The sequence below is a fragment of the Homo sapiens genome, chromosome 1 (genome assembly GCF_000001405.40).
Source record: "Homo sapiens chromosome 1, GRCh38.p14 Primary Assembly".
Classification (NCBI taxonomy): Eukaryota; Metazoa; Chordata; class Mammalia; order Primates; family Hominidae; genus Homo; species Homo sapiens.
In genome coordinates, this window is record NC_000001.11 from 18,091,238 (window position 1) to 18,118,597 (window position 27,360).

At 51.9% G+C, this 27,360-nt stretch overlaps 1 protein-coding gene across 2 annotated transcripts in view, besides 1 other annotated feature; it reads left to right on the top strand.

The window, feature by feature from the left end:
• Positions 7,687-8,209: an enhancer, noted in NCBI's record as "NANOG hESC enhancer chr1:18425418-18425940 (GRCh37/hg19 assembly coordinates)". NCBI's record gives its function as "activates a minimal SCP1, AML or CMV promoter by ChIP-STARR-seq in naive H9 embryonic stem cells {active_cell/tissue: H9 hESC(naive)}" and the evidence as "EXISTENCE:reporter gene assay evidence [ECO:0000049][PMID:30033119]".
• IGSF21 (immunoglobin superfamily member 21) overlaps positions 16,561-27,360 on the top strand; it is a 270,686-nt gene continuing 259,886 nt past the window's right edge. For both annotated transcript variants that reach the window (NM_032880.5, XM_011542319.4), the window contains exon 1: positions 16,561-16,961. In NM_032880.5, coding sequence (NP_116269.3) covers positions 16,892-16,961 — 70 coding nt within the window. In that variant the 5' untranslated portion in view covers positions 16,561-16,891. The remainder of the gene's footprint in view (positions 16,962-27,360) is intronic.

Here is a 27,360-nt window from a genome sequence, read left to right on the forward strand (position 1 = left end):
AGACAGAATATTGCAGCCCTGAGCCCAGAATAATCCCCCTGGGGAGAGCCTTCCCCACTCAGAAAAGCCTCTGGTTGCATTGCAGTGTTTTGCTACTGACCTCCCCCTCTGAGGGAAGGCAAATTTCATCCAGAAGGAGATGTGTGAAAATTGGATTTGCTGCCAGGGTCAAACTTTGCTGTGTTTTATCCTGGCTGTCACCTGCCTTTGAAACACAGAATATTTCTCCAAATGATGCCTCTCACTCGTGGCCCCTCCTTTCTGGAATCAGAGCCCATGAACTTCTACCAGCTTCCTCTGGGCCATCTCTCTGGCTGCTGCCCAGCTCAGGCCACGTTCATCTCTCTCCTTGTCCCTTGCTGTGGTCCCTTGACTGGTGTCCTCATCCCCACCCAGCCCCCCTCCTTCCCATTTTTCAAGCAGCCAGAGAGGCCTTTCAAAAACACAAATTGGAGCACGTAATTCTTCTCCTTAAAGCCTTCTCCTAGCTTCCTGTTGTTCTGGAATAAAATCCCAACTCCCACCCTGCAGGCTTTGGCCCTGCCACCTCTCCCAGCTCATCTCCTAAAAAACATCCCAGGCCCTCCCTTGCCGCAGGCATGGTCCGCCAGTTCCTGAAACATGGAAGCTCTTCCTCCCTCCAAGACTTGGCTCTGTTCTGTCTGCCTGGGCTCTTCCCCTGGCTCTTTGCAGTGCTGGCTCCTTATCCTTCTTATCTAGCTTAGTTGTCACCTCTTCAGAGAAGCGTTCCCTGACTGCACTATGCTCCCATTATTACCATTCTCATCATCTTGTTTACCTATTTCCTGGTCCAGATTACAACTTGTAATCATTTTGGTTTAATTAATTCTATGAGGATGGAGGTGCCTAATAGGTCACAGCTATATCCCTTAGGCTCAGCACATGGTAGGACAAATGAATTTCCCCTTTCCTGCAGGATTTCAGTAGCCTCCCCGCTGCCTGCCTTGCCCATGACTCACCTCCTCCAACACACTCAGGACATAGCTGCCAGGGAAAACATAGCCCTGAACGTGTCCCTCCCACCCTGGAAGCCCTCAGTGGCTTCCCATTACTCAGTAGCATCAGGGACGCTTGGGCTCAGCTTCCAGACTGGACCCAGCCAACCATTTCTTAACATTCCCTTCCATCCACCCCATGCTCTGGTCAAACTGGAATATTTGCTGCATTCCTGAGCACTCCTTGCTCTTTTCTATCTCAGGGCTTTGGCAGGGATGTTTTCCCTCCACCTGGAAAGCCTTTCTCTCCTCTGCAAGACAAAAAAATGCATCCTCATCTCAATTCATCTCCTCCTCCAGGAAGTCTCCCTGACTGCCTCTTTGGTGAAGAGGGAAGAACTTGGAAGTTGGTGTCAGTCCTGGGTCCATATCTCTGCTCTACCATTTGCAGAGCAAATGAGTATATGACTCCCTGTGTCTGAATCTGTTCAGTAGGAACAATTCTGACTCTCAGAGTCGTTGAATGAAACACCTTATAAGAAAGCCTCTGGCCCCGAGGAGATGTCAAGCAGACGTGAGGCCCTTTCCAGGTTTAGTGGTAACCTGTGATACTCCTTCATACTTCATCTTCTTCTAATGCACTTGGGGTGAACCCATTCTCCTCTGTCCCCACTGCCCCTTCTGGGCAGGACCACACCTTCTCCCTCTCCCTTCCCTTACCCTGCCTGCCAAGATATTTACTTTATGCCAAGTAGGGTCTAGGGAGAGTCTGCTGAATGTCCTCGACCTTTCCTCTTCTCTGGATATTCTTCCTTTACAGAGAAAAGCAACTCAGTACAATTTTATGCTAATTCATGCATTCATTCACTGAGCTTCTATCATATGAACAAGAGCCCGGTGGAATTTTCATTTTAGGATGTTGGAACTGCCATGATTCATTTGGTCAACAAACATCTGTCTACCACTGTCTACCATGGTTGTGTGTGCTCAGTTACCCCAGTAATGTCTCCAGCTCCCTGGTGGCAGTCATTAGCTGTTGCTCAGGGCACTTGAGTCCCTCTTTCCTACAGCTCAATCTGTCCTTAAGGGCCATTCTCCAAGGTTTCTAGACATTGTTCTTCCCCACTGGGTAACTGTGGCTCTGCTCCGTGTCTATAGTGAGGCCTGCCAGATGCAGGACCCCTGCAGGCAGAGAGCTGTGAAATCCTCCCTGATCCGCTGCAGCCAGTGAGGGGAATCTGGAATTCTTTGCCTCCCAGGCTCCTGTGTGCATTTCAGCCTCTCTGACCAGGCTCAGAGGCAGCTTCAGAGGCAGCCAGGGGTGCAGGGCAGGTCTCTCTCCTTAAAGAGGAGCAGTTGTCTGATCCAGCAATTTCATTTCTGGGTATATATTTCAAAACAAAGCAGGATTTCAAAGGGATATTTGTACCCCCATGTGTGTAGAGCAGGATTATACACAAAAACCAAAAAATCCAAGAGTCCATCCGCTGAGGAGTGGATAAGCAAAATGTAGAGTAGCCATACAATGGAATATTATTCAGCCTTCAAAAAGAAGGAAAGTCTGACGCATGTGACAACATGGATGAAGAGTCCATCTGCTGAGGAGTGGATAAGCAAAATGTAGTCTATCCATACAGTGGAATATTATTCAGCCTTCAAAAAGAAGGAAAGTCTGATGCATGTGACAACATGGATGAAACTTGAGGACATTATGCAAAGTGAATAAGGCAGGCACCTAAAGACAAATACTGTGTCACACTAGTTACATGAGGTATCTAAAACAGGAAGGGGAGAGATGGTTGCCAGGGGTTGGGGGAGAGGGGAAATGGGGAGTTGTTTAATCTGCATGGAGTTTCCGTTTTGCAAGATAATAGGGTTCTGGAGAGCTGTTTCCCAACAATGGAAATCTGCTTAACACTACTGAGCTGTCCTCTTAAACATTGTTAAGACAGTGAATTTTATGGTTTGTGTATTTTACCACAATTAAACATTTAAGGGAAAAAGAGAGAGAGGAAGAGAGAAGGCCTTCTGGGTAAGAACACCTGAGCAGGTAGGAATGGCCCTGGGGGATCTGACCTTGGCCTCTGAGCCCTACCTCCTCCCTAACTGCCTTCAGCTTTCACTTCTTCTCCCGCCAGACTCAGCAACCCTCCCTTGTTTGTCAGTGGCCTGACTATGGACACACCTTTCCTCTTACAACCACTGATCACAGCTGACTTCAGCTGCTACTTCCAGCTTTCCTAAAAAAAGAAATAAAATAGAAAGGAAATAAACATAGAACAACCAAGCTGGAATACCATGTTTCCGCCATCCAACAACAGCCAAACTGTTTCTGTGTATTCTGAGCCCTGCTCCATCCCAGAGGGGCTGCCCTCTGATGGCCTCATTTAATTCTTCATTTAGAAACAAAGATGGTTTTCGTATATGGAAGCTATACCTAGTTGGTATGGAGTTCTCTTACGTCCCCACTGCTGGGGCTGAAGACCACCACCAGCCTCACAGGCTCTTCCTCTGCCTTTGCCATTGTATTAGTCTGTTCTCATGCTGTTGATGAAGACTAGGTAATTTATAAAGAAAAAGACCCAAGACTGGGTAATTTATAAAGAAAAAGAGGTCTAATGGACTCACAGTTCCATGTGGCTGGGGAGGCCTTACAATCGTGGTGGAAGGCGAAAGGCATCTCTTATGTGGCAGCAGGCAAAGAGAGAGCGTGTGCAGGGAAACTCTCCTTTATAAAACCATCAGATCTCATGAGACTTATTCACTATCATGAAAACAACATGGAAAAGACCTGTTCCCATGATTCAATTACCTCCCACTGGGTCCCTCTCATGACACGTGGAAACTGTGGGAGCTACAATTCAAGATGAGACCTGAGTGGGGACACAGTCAACTCCTATCAACCATGTTATTTGGGGTTCTCACTTCTGGCAGGCTGATGTCAGCAAGCCCCAGGCAATCTCCTTGTCCAATCCAGCCTGGTCACTGGGCCCTTCAACTTGGCACCTGCTCTTATGGGCTGCACCTCCACTGGACCTTCAAGATACAGCTGGGGCCTCCTGACCCAGGGCCTGGGGGCTGGGACAGCCCTTTGGGGATAGAAAGGCAGCCAGTTCTGAGCCCTGGGGCTCTGGGTCATGCAGCTGGCCTCCTGGGGTGACTCAACCTTGCAGAAAGATCTCTTCTTGATCTTCCACAGCCTGGGGTGTGGGTTCAAGAGCTGAGAGGCCAGAGCTCAGCATCCTCTAACCCCTGTCCTTGGCCATCAGAGACCTGTAATTGCCCTAAAATCCATCTTTTTCCCAGGCACATACTCACCAAAGCCCTTGGTTCCTCTCTCTCTCTCTCTCTCTCTCTCTCTGACTCTGGGGACCTGGCAGATGGAAACCATCCTCTATCTGTTCCAACCCAACAACCTAATCCTGATGAAAGCTGGACCTGGGTTGCTGGGATGCAGCTTTCAGAGGGGGCATTGGCCTAATGAGCTTTCTTCCAGACCATGTGTTTGCTCTTCAGCCAGCGTCACTGTGGGGCTGCTCTGGGGGACTCAGCACAGTACGGCACATCCTCTGACTGGAGCACACAGACCATCCCTTGTGGAAAGCAGGCACCTGAGACAGCAACTCTATAGGCCAGCTAGAGAAGTGTCACCCTCACCTGCCGTCAAACCTGGGCTGGACCACTCCATAGCCTTGTGGCCTGGCACTAATTCCTTACCCTTTCTGAACTTCAGTTTTCCTCATCAGTAAACAGTAATAACATGCCTTGCACTGCCTTACTGTCATGTTCAAATGTGATTATCTATGTAAAGCACCCAGCCCTGGAGCTGGAGGTCAATGAATGCTATTTCCTGTCCTCCTTTCTAAGACAGGTGAGGAAACCTGCAATGCCTGGAGCAGCCATTGTTTGCATTACTAGATGCGGCCTTGTACTGTCTCTCACCTGCTCCAAATGAATGACTGGGGAGGAATAATGATAGGCCTTTTCCAGTTGTATATTACTGTTCTCAGAGTAATATACAAATTCTTCGTCATATTTCTTCCTTAAGGAAAAAAAACCTGGGAGGCTTCCAGGGAAGGCACATTTAACTCCACTTTGTAGATAGAGATACGAAGGCCCAGCGAGGGCAAGGACCTCATCCAAGGTCACAGAGCCAGGAAGTGGCTGAGTTAAGGTGGGAACCCAGATCAGGGTGCTTTTGTTTGCTTTTGTTTTGTTTTTAAGCTTTGTTATGGAAAGTTTGCCAAGGCCTCACCCTGTTCTCAGGAGTGTATCAGGGTAGACATCATTCTCAGGAGATGGGGCCAGGGATGCTGCCAGGCCAGGAGAGGCACCTTCGTACCCAGCAGAGCCCATGCCCTGGATGAACTAATTACCATGCTCCCTCACACTCATACTGAGCCTTCCTTCCAGAGAGACCCTAAAGTTCTTCTGAGCTGCTCGTACATATTTATATGCCTGCGTGCACGATAAAAGTAAAACCACTTCACCCACCGCTGAAATGCAGCCACTCGGGGTGTGAAATACGGGGCTTATGGAACAGAGGCAAGGAGCGGCTCTCAAGGAGAGGCGTGTGTCCCTCCTGACATTGCAAGGGGGCAGCTGGAGGGAGGTGGAATTTAATTATCTTGGCGAGTAAGTGCTGGACGTGGAAGTAGGAGCCAGGAAGACTGTGGGTCCCTGGGCACCGGGGACTCCCTTGGCCTCCCTGGGATGGAGAGCTGGTCCTGCCAGGGAGGACGGTACCAGCTAAAGGAGTGCACGGGCCCCTCAGCATCCATCTCTTTACAGACCCCTGAACCCCACTCCCTGGGAGCTGCCTGCAGGTATGTGGGCTCCAGCCTTCTGCCCTCCAAAACCCAATGTGCCACCAAACACCATTTCTTCCTTTAAAGGAAGGTCCCAGGAGGCGTTCGTGAGTTAAGACCTCTTGGAGTGAGGACCAGCAACTTTGCTCCTGTCCGGTCAAGGCTGTAGCTAAGAAAGGTGCCATTCTCAGAAGAAGCTGAGCTTCTTTTCTGGCCATGGCAACCTTTCAATGGTTCCTTGACTTTGTTCTGATTTCTGGTGCTGAGCCTTGCTGTACATTTAGACTTCTGCTCCTGCCTGTCCTCTTTTCCCTCCCTCCCTTCTTCCTTCCTTCCTTTCCTCCTTGTTTCCTTCCTTCCTCCCTTCCTTTCTTCCTTCCTCCCTCCTTCTCTCCCTCTTTCTTTCCTTCCTTTCTTCCTTCCTTCTTCCCTCCCTCCCTCCTTTCTTTCTTTCTTTCTTTCTTTCCTTTCTTTCTCTCTCTCTCTTTCTTTCTCTCTTTCTTTCTTCCCTTCCTTCCTTCTTTCCTTCTTTCCCTTTCTCTCTTCCTCCCCAGTCCCTATCTCCCTCCTTTCTCCCTCCCTTTCTCTCTCCCTCCCTTTCTCCCTCCCTCCCTCCCTCTCTCTCTCTCTCTTTCTCTCTTTCTTTCTTTCTTTCTTTCTTTCTTTCTTTCTTTCTTTCTTTCTTTCTTTCTTTCTTTCTTCTTTCCTCTCTCCCTCTTTCCCTTCTCCTTTCTTCTTCCCTGATATATTTTGGATATTTGTCACTTCCAAATCTCTTGTTGGAATTGATCTTCAGTGTTGGAAGTGGGGCCTAATAGGAGGTGTTTGGTGCCCTCCCTGAAGTAGTGAGTGAGGTCTACCTCTTGAGGTTACTGTGAGATCTGATTGTTAAGAAGAGCCTGACACCTCCTCCTCTTTCTCTTGCTCCCTCTCTTGCCATGTGGCACTCCTGCTCCCCCTCTACCTTCCACCAGGAGTAAGAGCTTCCTGAAGCCTCACCAGAAGCTGAGCATATGCTGGTGCCATGCTTGTACAGCCCCCAAAACCATGAGCCAAATAAACCTCTTTCTTTATCAATTACCAGTCTCAGGTATTCCTTTATAGAAACACAAAATGGACTAATACACCCACCCTGTACTTTGCCCATCTGACCACTATAGTCTTAATCCCCTGGTGCAAGCACAGAGGCTGAAAAGGCCAAGAGAAGGCATCCAATGTAGGCTTCCTGAACTATGACAAAGAAAGCTGAGCTCTGGAGCAGGAGCAGAAATTAGCCAGCTTAAAGGATGTGTGTGGGGTGCATGGGACAGGGTAGGGGAGATGGGAGAGGGAGGGGAGCTTGGATGGCTATCTCAGCAGAGGGGGCAGCATGTAGAAAGGTCTGCAATCAAGAGAGAGAGCTTCGTGAACTCTGAGAACTGAACATGTGAACAAAGCTGCAGAAGTGAACCCAGGATAGAGCTGAAGACCCTTGTAAACCATTCCAGGAATGCTGGCTTTAGTGTACAGGCCCTGAGGAGCCAGTGAAGGATTTTAAGGGGGCTAACCTGATCAGCTTGTAACCCTGGGTATACCCAGGTAACCTGGATGTGGATAGTTGAGGGTGGTGCTTTGTACAGAAAATGAGGTCCAAGGAATTGAGCAGATGTCAGTTCTGGGGAGGCTCAACTGTCCTTCCTTTATGTGGAGGCCTGAGTGAGGTGAGGTCTGGGGACACAGCAGGAGGGAAGGAGCCTGAGAGAGGCATCTGGGAAGCAGAAAGTAAGTGGATCAGGCAGTGGGTACAGCTCTGCTGGCAACGAGATCTGGTGAGCAGAGACAGGCTGTCTGCCCTGAGATGTTGGCACTCAGGTGGTCTTGATTCTGTACCAACACTTGCCAACTGTGTGCTCCTCAGGGCACAAACCATGTCCTTTTGCTTCTGTGTCCCTTGTACCCAGCTCAGTGCCTGGTCCAGAGAAGCCCAATAAACATGTGTGTTATTCGAACCCTCAGCAGTAGCAGTGATCCACTAGAACCACTTGTTTAGGGACCCTGGTGTAATGCTGTTAGGGATTGGGCTGAGCCTATGCCTCTCAGCTGCCATGCCCCCAGTGCCTAGGCACCTTCCTTTGAAGTCATTAAAAGCATGAACAATGCCTCTATGTTCCCAGTGCTAGCAGTCCATTAGCACTCTTTTCAGGAAAAGATAGCTTTGAAAGGTAAGTGATTTTCCCTATGTGCCTCCCAATAGCCTTTCATTCCAGGGAAACATTCCAGTCTGATTCATCAATTGCCTCCTTGTAGGATCATCCTCTTGCCAGGGTCAATGGAGAGCAGGACAGGAGGCTGAGCATGGGTGGAAGTCAACACAAGGAAGTCAGGGAGGGGAGATAGTGTTAGGTGACCGGCAGGGGTATGGGATTGCTTCGTCTTCAATCAGTAGTACAGAGAGAAAGGAGGAAGAAAAAGAGCACCTTGGTGGAGATGTCAGGGCTCCAAGGATGACGAAGCATCTTCTGGGGCTGAGAAGGAACTGGTCGGTACAGAAGGATCTAATGTCGAGAGTCACCAAATCTCAAACTGGCATGTGCATCTCACTCATTTGTTCAATGCAGTTTTCATTGTTCCTGCACTGTCCTTCATCAGCCCTGTGTGGTTTACAATAATCCTGCTTAACCTCACAGCCTCCTCCCCCTACACCACCTAGTTCCAGCCTTCCTGGACCACCTGCTCTCTCCTGGAAGGCAATCTCTGCTGCATGCTTTTGTAAGGCATTGCACATGCAGCTCTGCCCCCAAAGCTTTTCTTTCCCTGGCTAACTTGGGCATCCTTCAGAGCTTTAGGTCTCACCTCCTCCAGAAAGCCAGTCTCCCAAGTCCTAGCTCAGTGCCAGGTGCAGAGTAATCGCTTCCATAGTGGCACAGGAAGGAAGAGATGAAGAGAAGGAAAGCGGAGGTGGATTTGTGCCCAGACAAGCCATAGGTTTTCAGGGGCCTCGGAAAGCCAGCCCAGCCTTTGCCTCTTACAAATGAAAACTGTGAAGCCCAGAGAAATGAAATCACTTCCCTATCTTATAAATCAAATGGGGATTTTCTACAATGTTTCAGGGCCTAGAAACTCAAGAGGGAAAATAGGCTGAGGAAATTGTCAGGCTTCGCCGGATGGCGTTTGTAATTAATCAGAGGCCTTTTGTAACAAATACCTCTTCATTCCCAACTGAGTGACGAGCCTGGTTAGCCGGACCTTCCTTCTTTGCTCCGGGTTCCTCCAGAACCACGTGACCCAGGCCAGAGAGGGGAGGTGTGGAAGATAATAAGGAACAAAGTGAAATGGGCCCAGACTTCCCAAAGCATGGACTATTACCTGGGGAGGCAAGACACATGCGTGAACCGACCGAAGAGAGCATTGCTGCGTTATGCAGGAGGGACAAAATGCCCCTCCAAGAGTGCAGGGAGCCGACAGTCTTGCTTTGGGTCTCATCTATAGTATTATGGACCCATCCTACAATTGTGGCTAATTAAGGAGCTTAAGGATTTGTGTTTTGTAATAGCCTGCCTCACTGCAAATATAATAAAGCCTAAAGAACTCGTAAAACAGGAAGCTGATTCGGTTTTACGGAATATAGATAGGCCCTTGAACTTGAAAGGTTGTAAAAACGGAACAAATCATGTATTCGATGGCGCCACCTGTTGTCAATGTGTGATATTGCAGCTTGTCCAGGAAAGGAGGAAAGAGGCCGCTCCAAGGGTGACCTCAGAAGATCCCAGCCCCGTCTTGACAATCGTGGAGACAAGAGTCCAGAGCCAGGAATGGACTGACTAATGCTGGAAAATGCCACAGAGGAAAAACAAATCACAGGTTCTGTTCCCATTGGCTTTTTTCTTTGATTTGGAGTCATGGCCAACATCTGAGTCCCTTGAGATCTTGACCCTGGGAGTCTTTATCCACCTCTCTCCACTTAAGAATGCAGGAAGCTAAGGACAAAAAGAAGGAGCCACAGTGTGGGATAATTACAGCATCGTATGGCTGCCTTGGCTTTCAGTAAGAGTTGTTACAGCTAATGTTTATTGGGTGCTTATGTCATTTGAAGCATTGTCTTAATAAATCAACACAGCTTGATGAGGTTGGTACTCTTAGACCCAGTCCCATTTTACAGATGAGGAAATGGAAACACAGGAACGTTAAATAATTTGCACAAGTTCTTACAGAAGTTCCTCCTTTCTTTCCTTCCTTCCTCCCTCCCTCCCTCCTTCTTCTCCCTCCCCTCCCTCCCCTCCCTTCCTCTTTCCTCCCTTCCTTCCTTCCTTTCTTCCTTCCCTTCTTCGCAACTCCCTCCCTACCTACCCCCTTCCCTCTTTCCTTCCTTCCTTTCTTCCTTTCTTCCTTCCTTCCTCCCTTCCAACCGTCATTTTTTTTTTGAGTGCTGAAGCTGGGATTTGAGCCTAGGCAGGCCAACTCTGGAGCCCATGCATTAAGCCGGTACACTTGACTACATCTGTTGGCACGTTCTAACTATGACTAATATCTGTTGGTCCATGTGTCTCACACTTAGCAAGTGCAGCGATACAGGAAAAAGTAAAAATCTTGCTGATGCTTTCTAACCTCGGTTCATCTATCCATGCCTCCATCCATGCCCTTATCCACCCAACAATCCTTTCTCTAATCCTTCTGTCAACCCACCCACCCACCTACCATTACTCATCTGCCCACTCACCCATCCATCCATCCATTCATCCAATGATTCCCATATCCATCCATACAATCATTCTCACATCCATCCACCCATCCATTCATCCACCCACCCAGTAATTCTCATAACCAACTTCCTTCCTTGCATTTATCCAACAGTCACTTTCTTAAGCACCTACCACCTGCCAGACACAGTCAATAAAGAGATGAATCAGCTGTGTTCCCTACCCTTATGTTGGTCACATTCCCACAGATCCATAAAACAATGTTATAGGTGCTGGCCTGTGATCGGAAAGGTGAGTTACGCCTGACTCTGAGGGAGGCGAAAGAAAGGCTTCCCAACAGATGTGACTATCAACCTTGGCCTTAATGTATGAATGGGAATTGTTGGTTGGAGAAGGGGAGATGGCTATCAGACAGGAAGAACAGCACCAGCAAAGGCAGAGACGCAACAAAACCCCTAGTGTTGGAGGGACATAGAATGATCCAGAGCATGAGGTGAGTGAGAGCAGGGGAAGGAGGGACAAAACCAGAGGGGGCTTAGGATGCAGCCAAAGGGGCATACTAAAGAGCTTGGACCTTCAACAATAGGGAGTGCTGTGAAAACAGAGAGCAGAGGAGTTGAGGTACAGACATGGTGAGAACCGTGCAGGAGAAAGGTCTCTCCAACGGCAGCAGGGTGGATGAACTGGGGAGGCTGGGTCTGGAAGCAGGGACTAGTTAGAAGAGATCATCTGGGTTCAAATGCCAGCTTCACCTCTTATTGACTCTATGCCCTTAGGCCAGGGCTTGCATTTCTAAGTGTCTCATTATTCTTGTTTATTCCATGGTCTAAACACAGAAATGACCTACAAGATTCTGGAAAGAATTCAATGAATAGTACAAGCAAAGTATAGCACTTGGCACATAGTAAGCTCTCAATAAATGGCATCAATTGGCAGTAGTTGTTGTTATTATTATTACTATTTCTACTGCTATGATATCGAGGAAGAGATCAGGAGGCTTGTTCAGGGCCAGAGCGGCATTTTCCACCCTGTGATTCCCAGAGCTCTTGCTCACACGATGTTAATAGATATTAATGGAAAGAGGGTTCTGAGGCCAAACAAGTGTGGACTTCAACAAAATAAAACTGGAAAATGAACATAGACAAGCCAAACACAAAAAACTGCAGGACTTCTCATAACCTTTCATAGGCTCACGTGAACTATAAACTTCTAAGTGGAGAACAGCTGAGTTTGTAGCACTTCTTGAATATATTTAGCCATGAAACTCTCTTGCAAGAAATGTTTATTACAAACCTGCAAAACAAATGGTCAGTGAGACCCAGTTTGGGGAGCAATGGTCCTCCTGGGTCCATCCCTTTTCTCTGGTCCCATAATGCTGAGGCCCCTTCCCCAGCCCACAGCTCGAGATTCCCACGCACACCTGCTGACATCTTCTACCGGGAAGATGTGATGGAACTTGAGAGTCCAGGTGGGGCTGAGGTTCATTAAGGATGGAGCATTGGACTTAATTCCAAGTGGCTGACTCCATATCAATTTGGGTCACTGGTGTTAAGATGTCACTTTCGGTTGCATTTAATTTAAACAAACAATAAAAAGCTCTGTCCTGACTGCGATGGAGGCTGGTGGAGGTTTAATTCCCAGCACAGAGAGGCAGAATGCAGGATAGGAAAGCCGGAGGACTGCAGGAGTGGGTTGATGAGAGAGGGAGAGAGGAGGATAGAGAGGGAGAGAAATGTGGACCCCTGGGGCAGGGCCTGCCTGGGGAAGTCCACGCTAGATCCCTGTCCCCAGAATCCAGTATCCTCTACCCTGGCCACCTTGGGTAATTATTTTCATTTCTCTGAGACTCAGTTTCCTTATCTGTAAACCAGACATAAATGAAATTGCCACAGAGGACTTACAGGAGGATTAAATGAGATAAGAGAGGTGGAACGCACTGGATTCATGAGTTTTTATATACAAATACTGGCTTCCAAGATGTGTGTCTGTGTATATGTGTGTGGACACGTGTGTGTGTTCCTGTGTGTGTGGACATGTGTGTGTGTTCCTGTATGTGTGTGCGGACACGTGTGCGTGTGTTCCTGTATGTGAGCGTTCCTGTATGTGTGTGTGGACATCTGTGTGTGTTCCTGTATGTGTGTGTGGACACGTGTGTGTGTGTTCCTATATATGTGTGTGGACACGTGTTGTGTGTTCCTGTATGTGTGTGGACACGTGTTGTATGTTCCTGTATGTGTGTGTGGACACGTGTGTGTGCGTGCCTGTGTGTGAGGACACGTGTCTGTGTGTGTGTGCCTGGGTGTGTGTGTGTGCGCCCCTGTGTGTGTGTGTGTGGGCATTTGTGTGTGTGTTCCTGTATGTGCATGTGGACATGTGTGTGTGTACACATGTGTGTGCCTGTGTGTGTGGACATTTGTGTGTGTGTGCCTGTGTGTGGGCATTTGTGGGCATGTGTGTGTGCCTGTGTGTATGTGTGTATGCTTGTGTGTGCCTGTGTTTGTGTGTGTACACTTCTGCTTGTGCCTGTGTTGGTGTGTGGACACTTATGTGTGTGGCTGTATGTGTGTACACTTGTGTGTGTCTGTGTACACTTGTGTGTGTGTGTGTACACTTGTATGTGTGTGCCTGTGTGTATGTGTGGTGTACTGTGTCTAGGTAAGGTGTTTGGGAACTCTGGTTCTTGAGCTCTTCCTAGGTTGGAATCTGGTCCTATTCATAGCTGTATTGTACTGAGAAAGTTGCTTAACTTCTCTGTGCCTCAGCTTTCCCAACTGTAAGACAGGACTAATGATGGGACCCACCTCATACATTATTGTGTGGTGTCAATGAATTTATATACATTAAATACTTTCACAGCACCCGGCACAAAGAGGCACTTTCATAAGTGCTTCAGACTCTTATTATTGAACCTCACTGGGTGTCCTGCTGCAAACCAGCAGAGCCCATTCCCTTGGGAGCCAGGTTGGGGTAGGCAGTCATGTGCTGCGTCCCTCCCCTTTCCTGGCAGGGAGGGTGGGGACTAGAGGTCACAGAGGGGCCCTTTGACCTCTGGGGCTATTCCCTGGGGTCCGCGGAGTAGAAGTTTGCTTTGTGCTGTAGTGCACTCTGTTGGGAGAGCCTAACTCAGCACCATGAACAGAGGGAGGCTGGGGGCAAACAGCCACACCTCCGCCAAGGACTCCAGCTCAGCCAGTGTCCGAGGAAGAGGCCTGTCCTGCCGTGACTCATGGGTCTGAGTGCCAGGACTGCAAAGTGGAGGCCCTGCCGATCCATTAGGAGACAGGAGCCAAGGGATGTTAAGCAAATTAAAAGCCCCAGGGCTGTCCCGCGTGACCTTTTCCTTTGGCTAAGGCACCCCACCCTGTGCCCTCTGCTAACTGTGCTTCTCAGTGCTCCAGAGATGTCTTTCTCTGGGACAAAGGAAAGGCTTTAAAGCTATATCTTATGAAACAGGAGCTGGAGGAGTGGGCTTCCCTGGAGGGGCCTGTGAAGGCAGCCGTATTAACCACTATGGTTACCATATGGCCATAGACATGCACATCACAGCCAGGCCCCTTTGGGCAAAACCAAACTGCGCACCTGAGCAGACACCTCCTCTCTGATGGGCCCAGTCAGAATATGTGATCCTGGCGCTCCAAGGAGGTTCACTGCCACAGGACGCCTACCAAGTGCCAGACTTGTGCAAGGAGCTGAGGAACAGAGTGGATAAGACTGAATGACCTACCCTCATTCATTCATTCATTCATTCATTCATTCACGCATTCATCCAACTGGTATTTATTGAGGATCCACTATGTGTCAGGCACTGGCTAGGCATAATAATAATTATAATACAGGGTGATGTTAAAGAGAATTGAGGTGATTCAGAAGTCTTGGGGCTGAAGGAGATCTCCAACACACCAGCCCCAATCCTTGGTCCTAGGAAGCAACCCTCCCTTGGCTGTTAGGCCTGCTTTCCTCCTCACTAGCATATCCTCAGATGCCATTCTCTAGCTCCTTCTGCTGGCTCTCTTTTCTAGCTGGTGTGAACCATGGCTGGGAAGAAACATCACTAAGGGGCCCTGGAATCCCACCTGCTCCCTGGCCCTCATCTCCAAGGGCTGGGCTGCAGGGAGCGCAGCCAGGAAGCCCCACCAATTCAGGGTTCACCTGAGGAACTGATGCTGTCCACCTGCCTAGCTGCACGCCGATTTGCAGCTGGGGCCAGAGAGTAGGAATGCCCACACAGCGATGCTTGGCATTTCCCTGCACAACTCAGACCAGCACAAGGAACCGCATGAACCTGATGCTGTTCCCCAGCCAGGGAGCCCCTTCCACAGAGGATTTAGAACCTGGGATGGACTTTTGGGTTTGTTGACTTTTTCTTGGGTCAGAGTGGGGAGGGAGGGCCAGGGAGGAGGCAGTAAGGGACTGTGCCCTGCAGCCTGAGAAGAAGGTGAGGGGGAGAGGTGACCTCAAGCTGACCCTCAGCAGCCTGGAGAAGGGGAGACCTGGGTGGATGCGAGTGAGAGGGAGCAAAGAACAGCAGCCAAAGGGAGAAGAAAGGACCTAAGACTCCAGTGTTCATCAAGTGTTCAAGCCATATGCAGTCCAATCAACCTGGAACCAATTAGTCTGATTCACAAAAAAAAAAAAAAAAAAAAAAAAAAAAAATCCCACTTAGGGACAAACTGTAATCAAACACCTATTTATAAGGGTTTATTATGATCATTATTATTATTTTACTGAGAGGATCATTCTAAAGCCTGTCAGGTGAACGTATGCTTTCAGATCTTCATAAATGCAAATCGCTCCTTCTGGGGTGGGTGAGCAAGCTGAGCCGCAGAGCTGCCTTGGGAGGCGATGGGGTGAGGTTCCAGAGGGCAGGAGGAGGGAGCAGTTCACTTTCATGGACATCTCTGCACAAAGCTCACCCAGAGGCAGCCCAGCAACCACCCATTGCCCACCCCACTCCCTACACTCCTCTCAGAGGGCTGCTGGAGATGGAACTGGCTATAGACCCATTGCCCATGTAGGTAAACGATGCAACAGCCTGACTCAGCAACCTGCCAGAGCTAGGGAAGCTGGAGATTCTCCATAGAAGGCCTGGGTAAAGGGACCCACCTGAGTTCTGAGCAGGTTTTGCCCCTGGTCGTGCTGGTTTTTCTGGGCTTTGCCAATCTTCTGGGTCCCTACCAATGGTGAAATTCTATCTCCTGAACTTCCTCATCTAACCACATCCCCAGTCCACTCCAAGGGCTAGAGTACCCCTCCCCTTCATCCTCGCAGGAGGCCTCAAAGTCCACCGCCAGGGCTGAGGCTCAATGGTGTGTGTGTGTGTGTGTGTGTGTGTGTGTGTGTGCTCGCGTGTGTGTTGGTGGGAGAGTAATGGTAACATACAAGTCCCAAACCTGTTCTTCTCGGACCTGGGAAGAAAAGCTGTCAGGTCTGGCAAAAAGGTGGAAACTTGGTCTCTGCCAGGAGGAAACAATCAGTTCCTCACCCTTCCTGGCTGGATCCTAGCACATGGGAAAAAGACAGAACACACCCCATTTCCGTGGGTCCCTGGGGGAAGGAGCAGCCGTAATTGGGGAAGTTTCAGAACATGGAAACCCCTTAATCTTGCCCAATGAGGGCATTCATCGTTGGCAAGGTCAGAACTCCAGAGCCACACCCTGCCTGCCCTGCTCCCAGGATGGCATCTTTCCCTCTCGGGAGGGAGGCTGCCTCCTTTCATCAGGCTGAGTAGCGGGGAGGGCGATGGTAATCCCGGGGATAGGAGGGGCTAGGTAAAGGCGGATCCGATGGAGCATAGCTTCCAGGGCGGGGTGTTGGGTCACCTGGGTAAGGGTTAAGAAGCTGGAGGCAGCAAGCCAGTTTTGAGTGAGGGGGGACCTGAGTGAGGGGAGAGGGGAGGTTAGGAGGGGGTGAGCTCTCCTTCTCCCTGCAATAAATCGGCTTAGCGGACGAGAGCCGAACAGCCCAGAAAGGATTAAAGAAAAGTCTGTATAATACGCGGAGAGCGCGGCGAGGGGAGGGCAAGGAGGGCGGGGGGGCGGGGAGAGGGGGAGGGACGGAGGGAGGGCGAGAGGAGGGGGGTGCTCGCGCCGCCGGGAGAGGCGAGCGCGAGGCAGAGAGCGCGATTCGGCTCCAAACTCCGGCGCTGCAGCCGATCGGACTCTGGGCCGCGGTGGGCACCGCGCGCAGCTAGGGAGCCGAGAACCGCGGCGAGCCCCGAGGACGCCCAGAGCGCGAGGGTCGCTGCGCCTCGCAGAGCCGGAGCCGAGTCGAGCCGGGCGCCCGGGCTGCCTGGCCGCGGCGGCATGGGGGCGCCCCCGCGGCTCTCCGCGCTGCCCGCCACCGCCTCGGCCAGTGGCCGGAGGCAGGAGCGCGTCTGAGCCCATGGCGAGGGGACCCGCCGCCACCGCCTCCACCCCCGCCGCCCCGCCACCGCCGCCAGCTCCCGGGCACCATGCGAACCGCCCCGAGCCTCCGCCGCTGCGTCTGCCTGCTGCTCGCCGCGATCCTGGACCTGGCGCGCGGTGAGTGCGCGGGCGCCTGGCGGGAGCCGAGCGGTGAACGTGCGCGGGGACGGGGTGCCGGGGGAGGGCGCTGGCCGGGGTCGCTCCGAGAGGCTCGGGCTACGAGCACCGGTCCTGCCCGGGGTCTGTGGAGCTGGTTGGCTCGATGAGGGAGGGAGGACGCCTCTTGGAGAGCGCTCATGGATTTGTGCCAGGGTGTGTGTGTGTGTGTAAATTGTGTGTCTTTGTTGTGTGTCTGGGTGAGGGTGTCCGGGAAGGAGCTGTGTGGGCAGAAGGTGCGGGAGTGTATTTAGAGATGCAAGTGTGTGTGTGCGTGTGTGTGTGATGGTGTGGGGTCTGCGTGTGAGTGAGCGAGGGTCTGGATGGGTGTTAGAGTGTCTGTGTCAGTTACATGGAGAAGGTGTGTGTGTGAGAGTGTGAGCGAATGTTGGGGGGAGGGTGTGAACATGTGCCACCTTCCCTGTGAGGGTGTGAAGTGTGTGAGCTTGTGTCACTGTGGGTGTGAGGTGTTAGGGGGTGGGTATGTGAGGTTTGGCGTTTCACGTGTGTCCCGAGTGTGCAGGTCTCTAGGGGTGTACGACAGCGGATTACTATTTCTGTGTGCACAGGAGATGGGACTGTGACACTGGACAAGAGTCTGCTTATGTGGGATGGGTGGGGGTGCAGGTGCCTGGGAGTCGTGGGCTTCATGGGGCTGGGAGTGTGTGTATGCGTGCCATGGAGCGTGTGGTTATCGTGTGCAGGGAGGTATGGACGCTTCCGGGGCTGGGGAGTTGTGAGCAGCTCAGTGTGTGTGTGTGTGTGTGTGTGTGTGTGTCCCGCCGTGTGGACTTGCTCCCGGGTTAGGCTAAGACAGCTAGAAGGAGGTTGAAGCCGAGCGGGTTCTCCGGAGCCAGTGAGAGGTGGCTCCGCAGCCCCAGGGTCCGCGGCCGGCCTCCCACCCAGTGCCGCCGCGTAGTGGGTCTTAAATGGAGCTGAACCCTTTCGCGCAGTGAGCAGAGAGCCAACGTGAGGCTAAAAGCCAGGAGGGAGGGAGGCGGGACCAGCGAAGAGCCGCAGGCACCGAGACTACAGGCTCCGCGTCCGGGATCCTCCTCGGAGCCTGGTGCCAACCTCAGCCTGGCTGGAGTCAGAGCCTGGCTCCGCCTCGGAGGGGAGCGGGACGCGAGGTGCCAAAAAGTCGTCTTTATGATCAATAAGGTCTCGACCCCGAGCCCCACTGGATGATAGAGGTGGGCATCACCTCTGTCCTATGCCATAGCCTTGTCCCAGCAGGAGGTGCCTACCTAGGCTCTGAGAGTGCCTGCCAGGAAGGGGTGCCCCCTTAAAAATAACCCCAACTCCTTCTACCCCGAAGTCCTTGGGGAGTGCTGGGTCTGCTGATGGGAGAAGCTGCAGAATTTGAGCCCGGAAGGTGGTCCTGACAGCGAGGGGGGAGGGGTTGGTGTAACCCAGAAGGAATGCAAACCCTGTACTTTGTTCCCCTACCCTTGGAACAAGAGACTTTCCTAAGTGGATCAAAATGTCCCCCCTCAACTTTGGGAGGAGGGCTCTAGAGGGAAAGGTTACATGGGGGAGGTCCTCGTTCCAGCGCCGCCGAGAGGGCACTGGGGTTTGTTGAAAGGCACTGGAGCCCTCACCTGGACATTGCAGGGGGCGGGGGTTGGAGGCTGGGGACCTAAGGTAAGCACCCCTTTCCCTGGGAATGCGCAGAACAGAGAGACGCGGCAGGGTGAAGGAGAGGACTGATGAGAAGGGCTTGTTGGGAAACCCTGGCTCCGTCAGGACCCCACCCTGCGAGCTCTCCCTGGAACCCGGGAGCAGGGTTCTTCTGGCTGCCCGGCTGCAGAGAGCTGACCCGGCATCCTGACGCCTCAAATCCCTTTGCCCGCCTCTGCGGGCTGCGGGAGGCGGGGGTTGGCGTGCCTGAGGGTGAGCGCATCTGGGCCGGTGCAGCCAGCGCGGCCTCGGAGCTCCGCTGCTCAGGATGAAGGAAGAGCGCAGACGCGGATCGCGAATGGGAAACTTTCCGCGTCTGGGGCGCAGAGGGAGATCCGAGGCAGCCGGGAGCCCTCTCTTCTCCGCAGAGGAGAGCACACGAGGGTGGGGTCCCTCCTTCCTCCTTCCAAGTCTGTGCCCAGAATGGGGGGCGGGGTGCGAGAAGAGTCCGTGAGAGACGCAAGAGGCGGGCTGTGCCGGAGGAGGGCGCCCTTCCTGGAGGTGGCCGAGAGAGGTGCACCTGGCAGCGGCTTTGCAGGGCCACCTGCCTCCGAGGGCGCAGAGAGGAGCAACCCGCGCCGGCCTTCACGAACGTACTGGCGGTCACTGCTCGGGGAGGGGCACGGCCAGAACGCCCTCGCCGGTTCTGCCCCTTTGGGTGGCAGAGCAAGGGTGCCCGACGCTAGAGAGTCGGGTCTGGCAGGAGGAAGGAGGCCGCTGCCCCTCGCACTGGCTGGGCCGGAAGTCCTTGCCCTGGCTCCCCACTTCCCAGAATCAGACCCTCCAAAGGAGAAACCCACATTTCTCGGGACTCCTGGGCGTGTCCTGGGGCGTTTTCAACTCCTCCAGCCCCCGTGAACCGTGCCTGGGCACTTCTGGGAAGTCCTGCACTGGAGCCTGTGCAGTGGCGCCGGGCTGGGGATGGAGGAGTGGTCCTTAGCCGCTGTTCAGCCCTGGGAAACGTTCCGCTGAGAGCAGGGTGGGGGCAGCCCCAGTTAGGGGTAGCCCACGGCCCCAGCCGGGGGTCTCCGGGATTGCGCGGGCGGAGGTGGGCGGCCCTGCGGGTTCTCGGGTTCTCGGGTTCTCTGTCTCCGCAGCCGCGTGTCAGCAGGTGGATGGGATGGAGGGGCTGTCTCCGCTAGGCCGCCGCAACCGCAACGCCGAGACTGCGGGGGCTGTGCGCGCGCGAGCGGGTGTGACGACTTTATATATTTATCCTCCCTTCACACGCCCCCTTCCCACTGGGCGGGGCCTCTGGCGCGGCAGGGTTTCTTCTCCAGCCCCAACTGGGGGAGTTAAGGGCCCTAATCCCTTGCAGGCTGCCTCGCCCATGCCCCTCCAGCGTGGCCCCGCCCCTAGCCATAAACTCCACCCCTCTTCCACCCCATAACCGCTCTGCAAATGGGAGTTTTTCATTTTCGTGTTTTAAGTGCAGAGAATATTCGAGCTGGAGCGACCTCGGAGATCACTCACTTCGGTGGTTTTGAAACTTGTGTGTTTTTCTTTTTCTTTTAAGTAGGAAAACCCTTTTAGAGGAAACATTATCACCCTCCTAAAATCCCAATACCTTGAGCAAGATGATAGATCTTAAAGTAAAGCTGCCCTGGTGGATGCTGGGGATGAGGCCCACATCGAGCGCTCCTTCCACACAAGTCTTTCACAACCTCAAGACTGCTCCCTTCCTCCGCAGCTAGTATTGTAGCTGGGGTTTTGTTTTTCCAATAGCCCCGATTATATGGATCAGCTGCGATGTGTCAAGCAGGATGCTGGCTGCTGCTTCGCAGTCCTCATTCATGCTGCAAGATAGATTTAAGACCTTCTTTTCACAGATTAGGAAACTGAGGTTCTGAGGTTTAAGACTTGTTAATGACAGAAGTACAGGCTCCTTCCGCTCCCTCCTAGTTCTGCCCCAGGCTCCTCTTTCCGCTGAATCTTCCTTTCCTCTCTCTGGCCGCAAAGAATCCCTTGGGCAGGGCATGTGAGTAGAGAAGGACCCAGGTCATCTGAGTGATGCCTCAGATCTGCCTGCTACTCTGATATTTCAGAACGTCAGTCACAGACACACTTGAACTTCACTACACTCTGGCAAGATGGGCAGAGGACGGAGTAGGGGAAGGAGGTGGAGGAGCTTAGGGGACTTGCTTAGTTAGGTGCCTGGTTTATAGTGGTGTGTGACTTCAAAGGCAGAGACCGACAAAATAGAGGCTGTTTAGTTCTATTAACTGGGTTTCCTGGGATCTGTAGAGGTATTTAACCTAGGCAGTTGACAGCCTGGCTTACCACCTTGCCCGCCTCCGCTATAGCCCCAGGCCACCAGGAATTCATTTATTCATGCATCCAACAAATGCTTATTGTACACTATGTGCCAGACACGGTGCTGAGCATTGGGAAAACGGCCCTGAGCTTGGTAGAGGAGTCCCCTGCCTCTATGGTGTTTAAGGCTCAGTGGGAAATTGATGCTTCATTTAGAGGGAGGAAGGGGCTATTATCTCTCTCTGGCCCTAACTGAGCTAGGTGTCACGCCATGTGCTTTATCTTTCTTGTCTTACAGAATCCTTACAAGCACCCTGAGAAGTAAAATGAAGTCCATTTTGTAGATGAGGAAACTGAGGCTCAGAGAGGCTAGGTGACTTTGCCAAGGCTGCAGAGTCATTGAATGGCAAGCAGGAATTCAGATACAGGGCCCTCTGACTCCCTGGCCTGTGCTTCCTCCCTCCATGCTCTGCTGTCTCCTGGTGATCATTTCCTGAGCCCCAGCCACATGGATGTGTCCAGTCTCCTGTCTGGATGCCTGACTCCTTCCCAAACCCACACTGAAATAGAATCATCCAGGGTGTTCATCTGCACAGATGGGAGAGGGAGTGTCCCTGAAAGCTATTGCCATCACCAAGAGAATGAATAGGCATCTGCTGTGGGCAGGGCACATGTGAAAAGAGCAAGGCCTATGAGTGTGATCCTCATCCCAGGGCAGCGAGAGACTGGGCATGTTTCCGAAAAGATGAACGACAATCTATTTTGTCCATCCTCCCTCTCCACCTCCTTTCCTCCCCCATCCACTCCTGTTCCCTTCCTCTCTTTTTTCTTTTTGCCTTCTTTTTTCTTTTTAAATAAAAGGAGGTTCAGGATCTTTTGTAAGTGGAGGAACTGGGAGTTTCAAAACCAGGTCTGAAGCAATCCAGAGACAGCTGCTTTTTCATCACTGGAAAGGGAGTACAGCAGCCCTTACTACTTGTAGGAGGCTGCAAAGCTGTTCATTTCAAATGATAAATGTCAGTGGTGGTAAAACACATGAGATCACTTCCTAGGAGGTGTCCTTCTTTAGGATGAAATTCCAGGGAAGATTGGGGTGGTGAGATCCTGGAACCCACCTTTATGCTACAGTGAGCTCCAGGAGTGGAGGGGGCTCATGTTCACTAAGACCCCCGGCTAAGATTCCATGGATGGAGCAATAAAGGTAGTGTGTATGGGGCTGGAGATGCAGGCCCTGTTCAGTCACCTCTGCAGCCCAAAAGAGCAGGAGAGACAGGTCGTGGGCAGGGTGTGGCTTGGGGGTGGGGTTTTTCTGAGACCCAGACTTTAGTCCCCTCCCAGGAAAGGAATCTGGTGTTTGGTTTTTCCACCAGCCTTTGTTACATCTTCTGGCCACATACTAAATTTGCTTTGGGAAATCACACCAACCCCGCACCCCACCCCCACCCCACCCAACACATAAATTGCATGACATCTTGGTGGGTGAAACTACTGGGTAAGGCATCCCCAAGATGGGCCCTGGAATCTGAATATTGAGCGGAGTGTCACAAAGACTGAGAGACACTAGAATGTCCCCCTTGCCCCTGGGACCCCCAGGAAACCGTCCTTTGTTGGTTTCCTGAGACTGATAATGATGGGACCTATCTCCCAGTGTACTGAGAGGGTGGAATCAGGCATTACAAGCAGAGCTCTTAGCTCAGTCCCGTGGGCTCTGATGCTTGTTACTAGTGTTAACCATGGTAACGATGAGTACCCGCTGAAGCAGCCCCAGTCCTTGCGTTACTCGACTTTTTCGTAGTGTTCTCATTGGTTACATTTTTTGGCTTGAGAGTCTAGTGTCAATTTCTGCTGCTTGCAAGGAAAGGATCCCATGTGATAACCTCTCTAGGTGTGATGACCAGTGCCAGCCTTGGAGTTGCCAGTCAGTGCACTCTTGGTAATGCACAGAGGATGGTTCATGGCCCTCTGGCTGGGGGTGACCAATCCCACCGCCTGCCCTCTGTCTTTCCCTGGAGTCTTGAGGCCCATTGAGTGCAGTGTGAGACTCAAGTTGTTCCCCGCTAGTAAAATGTACAGATGGAGGCCAATCTTATAGTGAACTTCCAATCCCCTGACCCACTAGACCCTGCTCCACCCAGGCAGGGACCCCATCTGGTTCTGTTCACTGTTGAGTCCTCCACAAAACACATAGCAGGTGCTCAGTCAGGTTGTTTGTTTGGGTGATTAGGCTACCTCTGGCCTTGCGACATGTGCAACCTGGTTTTGAAAAAGACTGAGCATGTGGCTTTCTATTTCTATGGAAAATTGTGTGAAAAGGCTTATAGCATGTGGAATTGAGGCTGGACTTGCAGGTGGACTTCCTGGCAGCAAAGATGTTCTGATCCTGGAACTACATTCTTTCTTTCTGCAGTTTCTCAGATAAAGTAGCAGAGGCCCTGACTAGATATCTTAACTCTCTACCTGCTGGCAGTACTTGAAAATGCACAAAACACTTCCACGCCCATTATTCCATTTAGACCTCACATCACACAGGGAGACAGCTAGTCTTGTACCTGTTGAACAGATGAGGGAAAATGAGGCCCAGGAAGATGAAAGGATGGCAGTAGGCAGTGGCTGGACTGGAACCCAGATTCTGTGGTTGCGAGCTCAGCCTTCCTCCCATCCTCAACCCATTGCTGGACTTCATTTAGCCACAGGGGTCTGGCATGAGACAGGTCAGTTTCCCATGTGCTTACAGGCCAGTAAGCTTTGACCTCAAGTGTGCACTGTGAGCTGTGTGCTGCTGTAGCCACTTTGCTGCTGTGACTTCCTCTATCCTCCACTGCTGTCCAGGTGGGTGTTATATCCCCAGTCCACAGGTGAGGACACTGACATGCCCAGGGTCACACAGCTTGAGACAAGAGCTCACTGTCTCCCCTGTCTCCACAGTCTTGTCCTGCTCAGAGATTTCTGGCCTTAGCTTCTCCATCCTCCACCTCCTCCCCCACTTCCGCCCTTTCTTGGCTCAGAGAGCAGACATCTGCCCTCAGCTAGCACAGTCCCTGGCTCCCCATAAGGCTTTCTCCAAGTTTCTGCTCACCCACATCCTCCCTCCACAGCCCCCCACCACACACACACAGACTCAGGTGTGCCCTAAGCATGTTGGCAGCAGTACTTTTGGCAACACTTTGAAAGCAGCCCTCCTTGGGGCTGGAGATCGTTGGGGATAGTCTCCCTCCTGAACAGAGCTATTGAGGGTGAGCATCTCTGCACCCTCGGCCCTGGCACCAGGCCTGGCTCTGAGCACATAGATCCTGAAGATGTGTTTGTTGAATGAATGAATGATGTCTCCCCTGAGCCTGAGGTTTGGTTCAAACACCAGACCCAGGCTTGTTTCCTGGCCCTGCTCAGTTGCCTCTGGAAGTCCTTTCTGGTGTGAGAATGTGTCCATTGTCCTTCTCCATTCCATGGACCACAGTGGCATCACAGCTGGCATCTGGAGGAAGGGCCAACACTGCAAGGTGATGGGAAGACCAAGGGGACTTCGTGTCCCCTCTATGTTCTCCTTGGAGAGGGGACTGTCCTAGATGGGTGATGGGGATTTGGGAAGGTAAAGAAAGAAGGAAGGAGGGAGGAAAGGAAGGAAAAAGGTTGAGAAGGGAGGGAGGAAGACAGGAAGGAAGGAAGGAAGGAAGGAAGAAAGAAAGAAAGAAAGAAAGAAAGAAAGAAAGAAAGAAAGAAAGAAAGAAAGAAAGAAGGAGAGGGAGGGAGGGAGGGAGGGAGGAGCAAGCATTCACCGAGCAGCTACTATGTGCCAAACCCTGTGCCAGACATGTTCACACATAACATCATACTCAACTATCCCAGAAATGCCTGTTTGGGAGATAATATTCTCCCCCTTTACAGATGAGTAAAGAGGCTTGGAGAGATTGTGTGACTTGCCTGAGTGAGGGGCAGAGCCAGATTCACACCCAGGCATTGATTTGCACATCTCTTCCCAAATCTGAGTTTCTCCCATTGGTAGCTTGAAATAGACCATTACTGGAGTATTCACACAATGGAAATCGGCAAACTATACATTGGGGCCTCCCTCACCCGAGAATTGGTTGTTACACACTTGCCAGCACATCCCTGGGTATGCCCATCCTTCCTAATCCCTCCCTGTCTCTGTGGGGCAGCCACCTGCGGTTAATGTGCTTTGGTTTCCATCTGCAATGGGCTCCTGTTGTCCACCACTTCCTAACAAAGTATCCTTGGGCAAGACACTCGCTGTCTGAGTCATAGTTTCCCTGTCTTTTAAAAATGGAGGGTGAGTGAGATACAGCAATAACACATGAGAGCTTTTGGCATGTAACTGGCCTCTCCCTTCCTCCTGATGGGGCCAGCAGGCCATGGAGACTCTGAGGAGAGTGGGGTCACTGTTTCTTCTCCCTCTGCTGGAGCTGCTTTGGGCGAGAAGTCCACGATCCAGTCACTTCCATTAATTAAGCAGCTGCCCCAGGCCTGATTCTGGACTGACAGAGACCTCTCGGGGAGTTTCAGGTTGTGGGCAATCCCACATTCATTGAGAACAATTAAAAATCACATGTAATCAAATGGCCAATACAGGGCTTGAACCAAGCTTATGTCTTTGGGGATTAAAGGGAGTGGCCCAGGAAGGCTCTGAAGGATTGAAACAATCTTGCCAGGTCAGGAGTGGTTTCCAGGCAGGAGAAACAGCACATGCAAAGGGCTGGGGAAGAGAGGGGAATGCCATCTGGGCAAGTGAGGGTTGGAGCTATGAGGCTCCTGGCCTTGCTTAAGTGCAGGTCCTGGTTGAGAAGCTGGGGAGGAGGATGGAGGAGTTGGCAGAGACCTGCCTGCTAGGAAAGCGGTCTGGATTTGAGCCCATGGGCTGAGGGGAATGGTTTAAAAGAGTGGAGTGGCATTCCCAGAGCAGGGCTCTAGGAAGATTAATTTGGCTTTTCTGGGCCACCTGAAGCTGGAAGCTCTTTTGAACCTCCACTGGGTTATAAATGGTTGCTCTGGGTTGCCCAAAGAAACGATGGACTCCAGAAAGAAATGCCATCGTTTGGAGATGGCCCACTTCTCCCAGCACATCCTGACCCAGTGAGGAGGGAAAGCCAGGCCCTTGCCCAGGCCCTACCAAGATTGCACAGCCTTGAATGAGACTGCCCCAGCCTGAGTGTGTACCTTGGGCTTGACCCAAGAGTGAAGGGAGGAGGAGCGCGGTCCTGGGGAGAAGCTTCTAGATCTCCAATGGGCATGGGCTTTGTAGTCTAACCAGCTTTCAGATTCCACCTCCACCACTTGTCCAATTTGTGGACTCAAGTAACCTCTTCATTATTTTACCCTTGGTTTCTTCAACCGCACTTGTCACTCTTCATGGTGGCCTCGTCTGGTGGGGGCTGCTGGGAAGCGTGAATGGATAATACCAGGAGGCCATATGCACAGTGGCTAGCATACAGCAGGTGTTTGAAAAGTGGTTGCTCCCTTGATGATGTTTGGCTCCCCACCATGTGGTAGGAGCACCCTCCAGGTTTGAAGGGAAAGAAGTGTTTATAACCCTTGATTCCCAGGAGGAGAGGATGCATGGCAGGTTTCCCCATGTGGATCACTGGAAGAACCTTTGGGTTTGGAATTACAGAGCATCTGAGCCAGAAGGGAGCTGGGAAATTATCTGCACTGTCTCCTCTCTCCCCATTTTACAGACAAGAAAACTGAGCCCAGAGAGAGGAATGAGTCCTTCTTTGTTGCATGCACTGAGCATGATGTGGGGGGCAGGTCTTCTCCTTCAATGTCAGGGACCTGTCCCAGGGCTTGGCCAGGTGGACCCACCACCTGAAGAGCCTGGCATGGGGAAGCCTCTGGGTCCCCTGAAATTGGGTGGGGACCTTGGCAGCACTTCAGTAGGGAGCAACCCCCAGCCTCCTACATCACAGGACAGCTTGGGAGTCGCCACGGAGAGAAGCAGCTGAGCCTTTGGGGTTTTTTTTTGTTCCTTTGCCAAGCTGTTCCCTTTGCCCTTTTGTTTCTCTTTCTACAGAGGCGCTCAGCGCTCCTCTGATGGGCTTGTTTGTCACCAGTCGTTGGTGCTTCCTTTATCTCCCCAGCACCATCTCTTCCTCCTTTTTTCCCTAACGCCGCCCCAAAGGAAGGCGTTCATCACAGGCTGCCCTGGCATCATTCTGGGCTGGGCTGGGCTGGGGGAGGGGCAGCACAAGCGTCCGATACACTGGCAGAGGCTGGGGCAGCTGGAGGGTGGGTAGCTGTGGCATCTTGAGCTGGTGCTCACCGCCCGAGTGCTCTGGTTTTGTCGAGTGGGTATTCAGACCATACAACAGCCAAGAGCTGAAGGAAGGCCAGGTGTCTGGTTCTACAGAAGCAGGTGATGAGTTGCTAATTGTTACCCAGCACCTAATGTCCCAGGCAGGGGCGGAAGGAGTGAGGT